This window comes from Homo sapiens, chromosome 18, assembly GCF_000001405.40.
Source record: "Homo sapiens chromosome 18, GRCh38.p14 Primary Assembly".
Lineage (NCBI taxonomy): Eukaryota > Metazoa > Chordata > Mammalia > Primates > Hominidae > Homo > Homo sapiens.
In genome coordinates, this window is record NC_000018.10 from 79,155,032 (window position 1) to 79,170,133 (window position 15,102).

A 15,102-nucleotide genomic window follows, 5' to 3' on the forward strand; every position below is an offset into this window, starting at 1 on the left:
TGATGATGTTACTTAAAATTTGATGGCTATTTTGCATTTGCAGTTTTATTCAGCGATTCAGCAAATACTTATTTACCACTTATTATTAATATGTACCAGGCACTAATTGTTGCTTAAGATACAAAAGGGAGCAACTTTCAAAGAGTTTATAGTCTTGGTGGAAGTGCATACATTGACAGCAATAATCCTAACTGTATAGGTACTGTACTCAGAAATGTTTGGGGCTATGTGGGAACAGATAATTTTGCCTATTGAGTTGATGCAGACTTTGCAGAAAAAATGCTGTTTATATGACCTGAGCTTTCAAAAATACTAAGATGGAAAAGAGGTAATTGGATAGAAGCCTAGTGTCGCCAAATAGAAAATCTGTTGGAAATTGGGAAACCTGAGTTTAAATCACTTTGGCCCATTTCTAGTTATGTGACCTTGCCAAGTGGGCACACGTTTTCATCATCTCTGAAACGAGAGAGGTATATCAAGTAATATGCAGAGTTTCTTTCTGCCCTACATTCCTGACGTTATTTATAAATGAACAGTAGTTTTTATAGGAAGCTAAGCATGTTATTATTTTTATTAAAAACTCATCATATATCTTATTTCTAATGTGAAAACTGTAGAAAGGACTGTTAGATTTCAGAGTTGTTGATTTAATTTTTCTGTATTTATAAACAACATACTTTTAGAAGGGACATTTTTGTCAAAGAAGAAACATGTTTTCTCTCTTTTTTTTTTTTTTTTTTTTTTTTTTTGAGATGGAGTCTCGCTCTGTCGCCCAGGCTGGAGTGCAGTGGTGCGATCTCCGCTCACTGCAAGCTCCGCCTCCTGGGTTCATGCCACTCCCCTGCCTCAGCCTCCCGGGTAGCTGGGACTACAGGCGCCCACCACCATGCCCGGCTAATTTTTTGTATTTTTAGTAGAGACGGGGTTTCACCATGTTAGCCAGGATGGTCTCGATCTCCTGACCTTGTGATCCACCCACCTCGGCCTCCCAAAGTGCTGGGATTACAGACGTGAGTCACTGCACCCGGCCAAATGTTTTCTCTTTCTACCAGTTGTAGTTACATGGTTACTTACATTGTGAGATGAATTCTGCCATTAACGGGAGATCAGCTCTACCCAATAATCAAGTGACTTCTGTATACTTGATACGTTTATTATGTGTTGTTTCATGTGAGCTTTTATTTTCCCAACTGTGGCAGGGACTGGCTGGCTACTTCCAGCCCATTTCTCTTTCCTCTTGGAAACACAGCTGGACTCCCTTTCCTGCCTAGTTAGCTGGTCCCATGTCACTGAACTCTGGCCAAAGAGGGAGAGCCAAAAGTCTGTATGCCACATCTAGCCCTGCGCCTAACCTCTCCTGCAGGCACCTGCTCATCTCTTCCGCCTTGCTGGTTAGATGGCCATGACTAGGGCAGTCTTGGAAACTGCTTGTTAAAGATGCCAAAGCTTCCGTCAGCCTGGTGTCCTGAATGAATGTATGGAACAGAGCCCCTCCCCTTCCATTATCAAATGGACTCTATATAAACTATTGTTAAGCAGTTCCGTTTGCAAGGTTAATCTTTTATGATAGCTGGTGTTTCCTTAACTGATTTCTCATCCTAATTGCTCTTCATTCTGGAAGCCTTCTTACTAATTCTCTTTGCAAGTGGCATTATTTGCTTTTGAAGTGTTACTGCTTATATTTTGAAGCCATCATTTGCCAATATTGGAGTATAATGTGATCTTTTTTCAAGTAATTCTGCTCTTCTTAACAATAATGTAATGAGACCATTTAGGTGCTTTTGCAGTCCAGTGGGTAGGCTGCCTTCATAGTTTGTCACATGTGAATGACTCATCTCATAGTGCATTGCTTCACAGCACAGACTGCTGCGTGGGAGAAGTCTGCAGGCCCTCCAGTCCCCGGAAAGGCTCATCTCCTCAACCACAGACAGAGGCCAGAATACATAACCTTTGATCATGGGCGTGTAGTCCTTCTGTGTGTTGCTGGGTTTGATTTGCGACTGTTTTGTTAAGGCTTTTTTTGCATCTGTTTTTAAAGGATGTATTGGACTGGGCGTGGTGGCTCACACCTGTAGTCCCAGCACTTTGGGAGGCTGAGGTGGGTGGATCACTTGAGGTCAGGAGTTTGAGACTAGCCTTGCCAACATGGCAAAACCCCGTCTCTACTAAAAAAAATACACACACACACACACACACACACACACACACACACACACTAGCCAGTCATGGTGGCACAGGCCTATAATTCTAGCTACTCAGGACACTGAGGCAGGAGAATCACTTGAACCTGGGAGGCATAGGTTGCAGTGAGCCGAGATTGTGCTAATGCACTCCAGGCTGGGTGACGAGAGTGAAACTCCATCTCAAAAAAAAAAAAAAAAAAAAAAAAAAAACATGTATTGACTTATAGTTTTGGTTTTGCTTTTTCTTGTGTTATTTTTGTTTTGGTGTCAGGGTAATACTGGCCTTAGTGGAATGAGTTAAGAAGTGTTCTTTCTTCTATGTTTTGGAAGAGTTTGTGAAGAATTATTATTAATTCTTTGTTAAGCGTTTGATAGAATTCGCCCATGAAACCCTGTGGGACTGGACTTTACTCTGATTTTTAAAAAATTACTAATTCAGTTTCTTTACTTGTTACAGGATTATTCAGATTATCTATTTCTTTCCAAGTCAGTTTTGGTAGTTTGTGTCTTTTTCATAATTTGTCCACTTTATCTAGGTTATCTAATCCACTTTATCTAGGTTATCTAATCTGCGGCCGTGCAGTTGTTTTTAGGATTTCCTTACAGTCCTTTTTATTTCTGTCAGGTTGGTAGTAATGTAACCTCCTTTGTTCCTGATTTTAGTAATTGAACTCTTCTCTCTTTTTTTCTTGGTCAGTCTAGCTTAAAGGTTTGTCAATCTTGTTGATCTTTTAAAATAACCAGCTTTTGGTTTTAATGATTTTTCTCACTTGTTTTTCTGTTCTTTATTTCATTTATTGGTTTCTGTTTTTATTGTTTTCTTCCTTCCACTTATTTTCTGTTCAGTTTAGTCTTCTTTTTGTAGTTTAAGGTGGAAAGTTAGATTATTTACTTGAGGGTCTTTTTTAGTACAGGTGTTCATAACTACAAATTTCCATCTAAGTACTGCTTTTGCTGTATTTCATGAGGTTTGGCCATACATCTCAAAATTATTTTCTAATTTCCCTTGTGATATCTTCTTTGATTCATTGCTTATTTATTTTTAGTTTTTATTTTTATTTTTATTTTATTTTTGTAGAGACAGGGTCTTGCTTTGTTACCCAGGCTGGAGTGCAGTGACATGATTATAGTTCACTATGATGATCACTGTAACTTTGAACCCCTGGGCTCAAGCAGTTCTCTTGCCTCAGCCTCCCAGGTAGCTAGCAATACAGGCATACACCACCACACCTGGGTAATTTTTAAATTTTGTTGTAGAGACAGGCTGTGTCTGTTGCTGTGTTGCCCAGGCTGGTCTTGACCACCTGGCCTCACGTGATCCTCCCACCTTAGCCTCCCAAAGCACTGGGATTACAGGTGTGAGCCACCTTATCTGGCCTGATTCATTGTTTATTAATGAATATGAATTTCCTCATATTTATACATTTTCTAAATTTCCTTCTGTTATTGATTTCTAATTTCATTCCATTGTAGTTGGAGAACATACTTTATATGATTTCTATCCTTTGAAGTTTATTCACATTTGTGAAAAATGTCCTAACATACTGGGTATCCTTGAGAATATTCTGTATGCACTTGAGGAAAATCTACATTCTGCTCCTGTTGAGTGGAATGTTCCATAGATTTTGTTCTAGGTCTGCAGCATTGTTCAAATCTTCTTTTTTTGTTCATCTTCTATCTAGTTGTCCTATCCATTATTGAATGTGGAGTACTGAAGTTTGTCACTATTTCTCTGTTTTTCCTTCTATTCTGTCAGATTTTGATTCATGTATTTGAAGTTCTGCTGTTAGATGTAATATATTTATGTTTGCTTGGCAGATTGGCCCTTTTATCATTATAAACTGTCTTCAGCCATGCACCTCTCTTTTGGTTACTGTTTGCACCTTTTTTCTGTTGTCATACTTTCTACCTATTTGTGTCTTTGAACACGAAGTGTGTGTCTTGTAGACAGCATGTAATTGCATCATGATTTTTCATTCATTCTGTCAATCTGCTTGTTTAAAAAATCAGCTTTAGTTAGGAAAATTCACATCCAGCAAAATGTATCCATTTAAAATCTTAGCAGGTATGTACACTTGCTAATTATTATTATTCTCCCCATCCAGATGAGCTCCCTTTGCCCTGTTACCCTGCCTGATCAGCTTTACAGCCCTACATCAGTCTCTCCAGTGTCTCTTCTCTCATACCTGGCTGTAGAGTTCCAACTCAGAAGGCCACACAAGCATCTGACTGCAGCTCTGTGAATCAGTAGAGTTCACTGTGTAACCCACAGTGTTCCCGTTGACTAGGCCCATTCCTGAAGGCAGCTTATTCCAGCTTTCTCAGTGTTTCTCCTGTCTGCCTTTACCACCTGTTCATTAACTCTTAGCCATCAACCCTCCCCTCAACCCCGCCACTTTCAGCTACAGCTCCATTGCCTTCTTCCTATAGGCGTTGAAACGTGTCTCTACCCAGTCACCAAAGACCACCCCCAACCCCCAGTGACCCAGCACACCTATCTAGCTACCATCCCGTCTCTGTCCTTTGCTTTGCAGCCAAACCTTTTGAATGAGATGTTTTTCGTCATGACCTCACCCTACATCCCCTTTCTCTGTGAAATTTAAATGGTGTTTCTCAGGATTCTGTCCTAAGCACACCTACATTTGTGATGTACATGTTCTTCCTGGGAAACTGTAACTTCATTCATGGCTTTATATCATCTGATTATACACCAGAGCCTGATGGGAGGTAGGTGGCACACTCAAAAGGTTCCATCGATCTCTGCCTGTTGATTGGAGCCTTTAATCCATTTCTATTTAATGTAATTACTGATAAGGCAGAATTTACATCTGCAATTTTGCTGTTTGTGTTCTGTGTGTCTTGTGATATTTTTGTGTCTTTGTTGCTCCATTACTGCCTTCTTTTGTTTTAAATATTTTCTAATGTGGTGTTTTAATTCCCCATCATTTCTATTATAATGTACTTAAAAAACTATTTTGTTAGTGATTGCCGCAGGGATTTTAACTAACACAGCTCACTCTTAGCTAGGTTTAGTGTTTTTGTTGAATAAATGCTCCTGGAATTCTTTCAAGTCCGGTTATTTTCCAGAGTTCTGAAACAGTTGCTTTTGGCAATTTTCACTAGTCTTCTCATTGCAGTTACACAGAAGTATATTTTCAGAGGTTTTTATACTGCCATCCCTGCTTACTTCACCTACTTATTTATGATTTATTTGTCCTGTTTTACAAATGTGTATCCAGTGTAATGAATAACAAAATGCTTTAATTTGGGAGATGCTATTGTATTAATTGCCCTTTTAACAGTTGTGATAGAAATATGTGGAAGATACTATTCCAAATATGAAAACAGTTTTGGGTAATTAATTAAGTGGAAAAGATTATATAGATTGTGTTAGAAGATAAATTATGAACAAAGTCAAGCACTTTAAAGCTGAAAGGTGTTTAGAAATGTCCACTTTTCAGAAGAGGAATCTGAGGGCTGGAGAATGTAAATACCTTGCTTAACATTATATGACTATTAGCAATTTTATGGGTTTGTTTGTGTTTGTTTGTTTGTTTGTTTGTTTTTTCTCTTTTTGGAGGAGGTCTCGCTTTGTCACCCAGGCTGGAGTGCAGTGGCGCGATCTCGGCTCACTGCAACCTCTGCCTCCTGGGTTCCAGCGATTCTCCTGCCTCAGCCTCCTGAGTAGCTGGGACTCCAGGCACGCCACCACTCCTGGCTGATTTTTGTATTTTTAGTAGAGATGGGGTTTTACCACGTTGGCCAGGCTGGTCTTGTACTTCTGACCTCAAGCGATCCACCTGCCTTGGCCTCCCAAAGTGCTGGGGTTATAGGTGTAAACCACTGAGCCCGGCCACTAATAGCAATTTTGGAAATTCTTCCTCAGCCTCTTAATGTTTCACTGCATCATTTTTAAGCCATAGTAAGACAGAAAAACGTAAATGGAATATTAGAACATGACTCAAATGAGATAATCTATTGTGTTAACCTTGGATAAATAACACTTTCAAATTGATGATGTTTTAAAACATTTCTCTCTAATTTTGTCTTACATTCCATGTTGTAGGGAGAATCACTCTTCATAGTGGAGTAATAATATTTTGAAGGTCGTGGATCCCTTTGAGAATCTTAAGAATTATCACCTCTTTCCTCAGAAAAATGTATACACTGCACAGGCATGCTGGATTTTTTATTGTTTGCATATCCCTGGAGGATTATTGATGGGTTCAAGTTAGGGCCCTGCTGTAGTTTGTTTTAATCTATGCTTCTATTTTCATCCTCAGTTTTATTTTTTCTGTCAAATTTAAATTGTTAAAATAATAGTTACTCAAATGCAGATATTAAGAAGTCAGGGCTGGGCACGGTGGCTCACGCTTGTAATCCCAGCACTTTGGGAGGCCGAGATGGGTGGATCACGAGGTCAGGAGATCGAGACCATCCTGGCTAACATGGTGAAACGCCATCTCTAGAAAAATACAAAAAATTTGCCGGCGTGGTGGCGGGCGCCTATAGTCCCAGGTACTTGGGAGGCTGAGGCAGGAGAATGGCGTGAACCCGGGAGGCGGAGCTTGCAGTGAGCCGAGTTCGCACCACTGCACTCCAGCCTGGGTGACAGAGCGAGACTCCGTCTCAAAAAAAAAGAAGTCAGATTGTTTTTTCATGCTATTTTTCTTCTTATAAAATAGACCAAATAGCTTTCAAGCTATATAAAATTTGTGTTATAATATTGCTTTCAATCAAGAATTCTTAGCTTTAGAAATTCTGTTTATGTGATTTTTAAGTAATTAAAGTTATCTTATTGCCTAGTTGTTTTCAGTAGACTACAAATGTACTGAATTTTTGTATCTACTAACAGTTTTAATACTATTTTATTGCTTTTTAGTTTCAGTTTGAAAAAATCTGATAATACACTGTTTATTATAATTACAATATTTTAAATCTTAGGTATGATGGAAGTCCTAAGTGTTAATATATGCAGCATATCCCAGCTTGAACACTGGCAGCTGGGTGCTTGTCAGTACAGCATGGTGGGTTGCTCATGGCATCGTATTGACTGTGTATTAACACAGAATATTCTGTTGGGCTGTGAGCTGATTGTTTAGAATGTAAATGAAGCTGCTGATGGATCTGGTGACTGATGGCTTAAATTCCAATTAATCAATTACTTCATCACTTTCTTAATTCAGATCAAATATCTCCAGAGTGCACACAATTCTTTTAGTGGTATTAAGAGAAATTAATGCTTTAGAACTAATTTTCATCAATCTCTTATAAATGTCAATATCTTTTTCACTTGTCTCCTAAGTGATGACATTATACTTTAAGTGTTTGGGACATATTATAGTACCTCAGCTGTCTGTCACTTGTTAGTGGGACGGGGTGGTGGTTAAATGACACTGTACTCATCCACATGGTCTCTGTAGTGCTATTCGTCTTGCTACCAGCTTGAAAATTTCATGCAGAGTCATTAAATCGTATGAATGATTTAAAAATTAAGTTTAATGGCAGACAATCTGGTATTATAAATGCAAAGTCAATGCCTATCTTTCTTTTGTTGGCCGTATACCCTAGCCGATCTCTTTCAGAGCTGTTGGATTTGTGAGCTGTTGTAGGAAGTCTACTAATATTACAGGGTAACTTATTATGCGATATGACAGACTCGTGCTCCGACGGTGTCCTGTCAGTTTCTTCAGCACACTTGATGCACCCTCCTATGTGACACATACACGAGTTGATCTTAATTGTCATTAAGCCTGTTGACTCTTGTCAGTTGTATAAAATAAAATCAAGTATTCATAAGCAGTCTGTAATAGGATATAAGCAGGCCAACTTAGTAATACATTTTTTGCTGAGCCTTAACTGGCGTCAGTTTTAGCGAGTGCTTTCTGTTAAAAAATTATTAGATGCAGTTCTTGTGAAATAAGTCAAGCTGGCCATCTTTCTGATTTGCTAGAGTTCATTCTTTCTCTCTTTAAATCACCTCAGTTATTGAAAGGTTAGTATTTTTAACTGTACTTAACTTGAGTAAAAGTAATAACGTTGTTTTTCTCTAAGTTTAAAAAATAGCATATGATTTAACATGAGGCATGGCTTTTTTCTTTAAACAAAGTCAGCTATTTTTTCAGTGTTTAATAAGTTTACAGAAATTTAGATATTTGTTTCACTTTTAGAAACACAGAATACAGGAAATTTATGAGACTCCAGAGATTCTCACTTGTTTTTTTCTTTATGTAATAGAAAATCTAGAGTAGAGTGAATGGCATTGACATCTCACAGATGTGTCAGATAGAGTCTAGAATTTAGTCCATTTTACGTTACTTTAATATTTTATATCAGAACATTCACCCATATATAAAGGGGGAAATTCAATCTAGAAAAAAACTGTAACTTTAAAATAATATGCACTGCAACCTTTCTTGTACTGCTTCTTAGTTGAAACCAGTGAGCTCGTGCAATATATTTTTTTATAATTCTTTTGACAAATAACCCCTAACGGTTTATTTAAATATATGTATGCGTGTGTGTATATATATATGCGTGTATAATATAATATATGTCTCTAAAATCTCTAAAATTAACCTCAATTGTTTAGTTATTTACCTTTAGGAATAGTTGTTTTAATATTTTTATATTTTATTTTCATATTTTATTTTATACACACACACACACACACACACACACACACACACACAGGGGGAGACAGAGACAGACAGACAGACAGAGACAGAAAAGGTCTCGCACTGTCCCAGGCTAGAGTGCTGTGGCTTAATCATAGCTCACTGCAGTCTCGAACTCCTGGGCTCAAGTGATCCTTCCACCTCAGTTTCCCGAGTAGCTGGGACTACAGGTGCTTGCTACCATGCCCCACTAATTTTTTATTTTTTAGTTTTTGTAGAGATGGGGTTTTCTCGTGTTGCCCAAGCTGGTCTTGCACTTCTGGGTCCAAGCCATTCTCACGTCTTGGTCTCCTAAAGAGTTGAGGTTACAGACGTGAGTCACTGTGCCCAGCCCTATATTTTTTAAAGTATATGTAATCAGATGACATTGTCTCAGATATACTTTAATTGATAACGCCAATAACTGGAGAATCTTTTCATGGCTCTTGATCTTTTTGTGCCTTAGACAGGTGGGTTCATGTCTCTGTATTTCCCAGATTCCATTTTAACAATGATAATTCCCATATTACAGGGTACTTAAAAGGATTAAAAATAAAATTGGTGACTGGGCATGGTGGCTCATGCCTGTAATCCCAGCACTTTGGGAGGCCGAGGCAGGCGGATCACGAGGTCAGGAGATCGGGACCATCCTGGCTAACATGGTGAAACCCCGTCTCTACTAAAAATACAAAAAAAAAATTAGCCAGACATGGTGGCGGGCGCCTGTAGTCCCAGCTACTCAGGAGGCTGCGGCAGGAGAATGGTGTGAACCCGGGAGGTGGAGTTTGCAGTGAGCTGAGATCGCGCCACTGCACTCCAGGCTGGGTGACAGAGCGAGACTCCATCTCAAAAAATAAAATAAAATAAAATTGGTGAGGTAGTTACATAGATAGGGCAGATTTAGGCACTGAGTTGCTAGAAGCTATAATTAGTTGAAAATGCATCAGCTAGGAGAGAAAAGCATTTAATATTTGTGTAGAGTAAGAGACCACAAGAATGCTCAGTAGCATGTGGAAATACTTTTAGGAGGTTCAGAGGGGGAAATGAGGGTATTATGGATGTGGATTTGCATGGACATTTTAGTTGTAGAATGTTCTGTGGAAAGGGTGGGCTGGACTAAGCCATGTGAAGATCTGTTCTTACATAATCTACTTTAATGATTTCTCCAAATTTGAGAAACAACTAGCTACCATGATACGAGTTCCCAGTATATGACACTCATGACAGGCTTTCACGTATTTTCCCTGAATTTTACAACATAACTCCAGGGTAAGTCTTATACAGATTAAAAAACTGAGGTCTAACAAGGTCAAGTTATTTGAAAGGGAGCATTGAGTAGTCAGTTACAGGGCTGGTGTTCAGCTTCTGACTGTCTGGCTCTGCCTACTCTGTTATGCCAGTTTGGGATGGAAGCCTCCAGAGCAGGCATTCTCACCTCTACCTAGCACTGTTGGTGCTTTGGGCCCAATATGTCTCTGCTGTGGTGGGCAGGTCTGTCTTCTGCACTGTTGGGTGTTGAGAATATTCTTGTCCTCATTCCACCAGAAGCCAGTAGCATTCTCCTAACTTCCTTTCCAGTTGTGAAAACCAACAGTGTCTCTAGAAGTTGCCAAATGTAAATTGTCCCTAGTTGAAAACCTATGGAGGGCTTTTCATCCATTGAAGAGAATCTCTAAAATTAACCTTACTTGTTCAGTTATTTACCTTTAGGAATACTTGTTTTAATATTTTTCGAGACCTTCTTTCTCAGTGAGAACAGACTGAGTCTGCAGAAATTGAGCCATGGCCTGTTATCTTCCTCTCTACCCCAGCTCCATGTGCAGGAAGCTCTACTCTAAGCCCATGCAGCCAAAAAGTCAGGGGCTCTGTCTTCCTGCACTTCCTAGGCTATGGCTGCAGCCCCACCCAGGAGGGGCTGGCCATGGTTCTTATTTTCCCCAGACTCATGTTGCCGAAGCCCAATTCCTGACAGGCTTGGCCTAGGGCACTAACATAAAGTAACTTAAAGTGGACTATATTCTAGACTCTACCTGGGCTCCTGAGCATTGTATCCCAGTGAGTTCCAGCCCCAGCAGCTTGTAAGGCAGAGGTGACAGTGCTGGAGGGGCTACACCACAACCCCATCCCCAGTGCCCACTTGATGACCTGAGTATCCCTCCTGGTAGAGCTGGCTGCTGTCCTGTCCCCAGCTCCAATGCCATACTCCAGAGGTTCTGCCCAGGGTGAGAGACAGGTCCTAAGTGCTGAGATGTCTGCAGCCTTCCCTACAGACTTTGTTTGAAAAATAGCCTGGCAGAGTTCATTTCTGAGGATGTCGTTGAGAACACTGGAGAGCTTGGTGGCCACCATTTCAGAGGGCAGAAACAGCAACCCAGTCAGAAGCTTCATGGAGAGTCCTAGATCCAGCCTATCCTGGAGCCAGGAGACTGTGAGCATGTGCTAGGCGCTCTCAGAAGCAGCTGCAATGGGACTCGGAGCAAATGTGAAAGGACTCCCTGGGAGATAACAGCCCTGCATGATGCCAGAGCCCACTGACCCAAGGGGCTTACCTACAACCTCTGAGCTGGCCAAATGATGCATGGTCCTCTGTCCCCAAGGTGAGTCCTACAATGCTGAGCTTACACATGACATCACAGGCCTCCCTGTCAGCCTGGAAGATGGTTTTTGCCCAAGATGATGGTCTCAGGAGTCAATGGAGAAGACCTCCAAGCCACCCATCCCTGACTGAACACGGGCAAAGTCGTGAAATCCCTGAATTGTGAGAGGTCTCTAAGCCACACACAGCCAGTGATGAAGCTTGGAAGTCCAACTAGCTAAGCCAGCCTGAGCACCACCTTTTGTCACAGGATCTTTGGGGTGTTGCTTTTCCAGCCACAAACCTCTATGGCCCGTGGAGCCTTTGTCCAAGTTTTGCTTAGGCCTGCTGGGCTCATTCTGCCTCCTTGGCCCAGCAGGCTTTGCTTAGCTTGTGCTGCCGGCCCGGATCCCACGCCTGCCGAGGGTGAGCCCAGAACAGAGTGGCAAGGTGTGTGTGAGCGAGCGTGGGATCTGGCCACTGCACACAGCCAGGCATGCTGGCTGTGGCAGGGCAGGCAGCTCCAGGTGCCGGCTCTGTGTGAGGCTGTGGCCAAATCAGGCGTTCCATAAGCGACTTCCACTGTGGGCACCAGGAAACGTGGCCCTAGGAGGCTTGGAGACGCTAGGAACCGCAGATCCCCAAAGAGGATGTCACAGCCCTGGCTCGGTGAGCTGTTAAGTCTGGGCTCTCTGAAGAGCCACAGATCTTCTCTCCTTCTCATTGCTTGCAATAAGGCGAATGGCAGGGCGTGTTTCTGCCCTGTTTGTGCTACAGCTCTTTCATTCCCACCATTGAGCTGGTCTCAAGTTCTTGTCCGGCATCCAGGAAGAACAAGGTATATGGACAACTAGAGGGTAAGCAAGGCAAAGAGGTGGTTTATTGAGCGACAGTACAGCTCTCAGGAGACGCTAAGTGGGTAGCTCCTCTCCACAGGCAGGTGGTCCCGATGATTGCAGCTCTCAGTGGAGAGGAGACCCGGAGTAGGTAGCTCCTATCAGCAGGCAGGTCGTTCTGTTGAGTGTGCAGCCCTCAGCGGACAGGGGACCTGGAGTGGGTAGCTTTTCTCCGCAGGCAGGTTGGCTTGTGGAGTGTGCAGCCCTCAGAGTAGAGGGGACCCGGAGTGGGTAGCTCCTTCCCACAGCTGGTAGTCCCAATTTCTGTGTGAGTCTGGCCGAAACTCGCTTTTTTTATGAACTTAGAAGGGAGGAAGCGCATGCTGATTGGTCCATGGGCAGCCATGGGCGGGCCTAGAAAAAGCACTATCCGATTGGCTGTATGGTCATCAATGAAGTCCTCACTTCCGGCAGTGGACCTCACTGGGAACTGGCAGCCCGGCCCCGAGGCTTCAGGTTGTTCCTGGCTTGAAGGTAGGGTTTCACAGGGGACCTGCCAATTTTTGCCCAGGAACTTGTGGGACTCCCACCATCAACATGCCATGTATGGTTCCCAGGCTGTTTGTCCCAAGGTTGCCTGCAGGCCTGCCCCGAGCCACCCTCCCGTGCTTGTTGGCGCCCAAAGTCTGGAGAGGGCCAAGCCGGCAGAGTGCCAGGCATGTCAGCACTGCCCTGAGCACATGCATACCTGCCAACTCGGAAGGGGATGGGGATCCTGCCAGCTCCATGGAGCATGCAGCCCTAGGCACACCTCCCTCATTGCAGTCTTCGCAGCCGCCACTCCAGAGGCGCCACTGCTGCCATCACATTGACCAGAAAGTGGTTTACGTGGAGCCAGGAGCAACCTCCGGAAAGCCAAGAAAAATAGAAGGAGACTTGGTGGTGGCATTTCAGCCTGGCGACTGCAGAGTCTGAGCAGGGGGTCCGTGGCTGCATCCTGCGGGGGGATAGATTTCCTAGAGTTCAGCCAGTGACTATAAAAATAAACAAATGAGTATAACAACAAACAACCCAAATAAGTTTTGTTTTTGATTTTGTTTTTTTTTTTTTTACATTTGTGTATTGTAGTTGCAACTGTTCAGGAAGTCAACTCTTGGTTGAAGTGCTGAGGTGGAGGGCTGAGCTATGTGTTCTTGTATAATGGGTTTGGAGTTAGATGGACCTAATCATGGCACTCTTCACTCACTTGGGAGACCTTGGGGTACTTTACCTCTGAGCCTAAAATAGGGACAGTTTTTCCTTCTGTCTCACAGGACATCAGATATTGCAGATAGGCCATGACTGGCACTTCATAAGTAGATGCTTAGTAAATGTCAGTAACCTTCCCCTTTTTGGGGGAGAAAGAAGTGACTTCCCAGTAGACATGTATAACTCCATACATTTTTTGAAGAAGGGGTAGCTGTGGGCAAGTCTGGAGTACAGTATGGAATAAATTCCATTACTCCTTCCTTAATTAGGAGTGCTATGTCTGTTTCTCCCCTGACAGTCTTTGGGAGGTATTTTCTCAATGAGCCAAGCACCCAGTGTGTGCTTGTATTAAATCTCTTCCATGCCTCATTCTTCTCCTTGCCACATTATCCCTGTCCTTCTCTCTTCTCCTCTCCAGCCCCCATTGTTCTCTCTGATCTTGGTCCTTTGGCCTTTGAGGTTCGTGACAGAAAAGAGCATCATGCTTGCAGAGGCAGCATATTTGTGGAGGCAGCGTCCTGCCTCGTTGAGGAGACTTTGAGAAGACCTGATACAGGCTGTTGTTGGTCATCTACTTCCTGTACAGTGGAGGCATTTTTCTATGACGGGTCCCTCAAGGGCTTCCACCCTGTCTCTGGAATGGGACTTTCCGTATCTTCCAAGTGGTGAACAGTGAGTTTTCTTGGTGATTTCTGAGGCTGGGCTATTTGTATGGTCAACCCCATACCATTAATAGGTCCTTCTAGAACCTCTTATTTTCTCTTTCACATTTGGTTGTCTGTCTTTACTTGTTATACTGTCACCTAACACTGTTAAGGTCAGTAGGAAACTTGGTAGCTAGAGTAATGCTTTCAGTATAGTAGGTGTTCAGTAAATATTGGTGAAATATGTGGGAGCTTGCTGTGTGTCACCTGTGTTGAGGAAGAGCCTGGCTGGACTGTGTGAAAGCCGTGAGTCTTCACACAGAGTTTCTGGACTCAGCGTTCCCACGGAGTGTTTTTGGACATTTCCTGTAAAATCTTCATAAAGTCTCCATTTGCTTTCTTCAAGATAAAAGTAAACCTTTTCTTAACATACCTTTTCTTAACCATTATTTAGTTATACATTTGTTAATTATGAATACTTAATAGTATTAGTTTAACCATTTTGAATTATTTTGACCATTATACCGTAGTATTTCAGCTGCTTTATGCATTAGGTGATCTTTATCAGACTTTATTAGATATATAAAAGTTTAGTCATTTCTGTGGGAAGAATGGTTCCTGAATGCTGAATGGCTTAGAAATGACCACAATCAGAAGTTTCAGGCTGTTTACTACATGGCTGTCACCTCTAAGCAGTGAGGAGCTTTGAAAGGCTGTTTACCTATTTTTTCATTTTAACAGTAAATTACAAAGTTATCTTACGACTTCCAGCAAAGTTACAAAATTACCTTACGACTCCCCAATACTTAAAGCCATACTGTCATTACTGTTACTGTGTAAGACCCTTGTCTTTAATGCTTCCGTTTTGCTGCGGTGATCACTTGCAAGCTGACTGAGCTCAGACTGTCTCTTGCTCTGGAGAGGGAAAGGCCAGGAGCTCTGTTCTGGCTGACCTTGGCT

The 15,102-nt window shown here is 42.2% G+C and overlaps 1 protein-coding gene across 34 annotated transcripts in view, besides 1 other annotated feature; it reads left to right on the top strand.

The window, feature by feature from the left end:
- The window catches only part of ATP9B (ATPase phospholipid transporting 9B (putative)), a 308,890-nt gene that overhangs the window by 85,638 nt on the left and 208,150 nt on the right, over nt 1-15,102 (top strand). Inside the window, exon 1 of one of the 34 annotated variants that reach the window (XM_011525971.3) lies at nt 728-12,784. The exons of the other annotated variants lie outside the window; for them this stretch is intronic. Coding sequence (XP_011524273.2) covers nt 12,607-12,784 — 178 coding nt within the window. The 5' untranslated portion in view covers nt 728-12,606. Of the gene's footprint in view, nt 1-727; nt 12,785-15,102 lie in introns of those variants that run through there. 34 annotated transcript variants of the gene reach the window in all.
- Nucleotides 1,722-1,991: an enhancer, noted in NCBI's record as "active region_13536". NCBI's record gives its function as "activates an Ori minimal core promoter by ATAC-STARR-seq in GM12878 lymphoblastoid cells {active_cell/tissue: GM12878}" and the evidence as "EXISTENCE:reporter gene assay evidence [ECO:0000049][PMID:35858748]".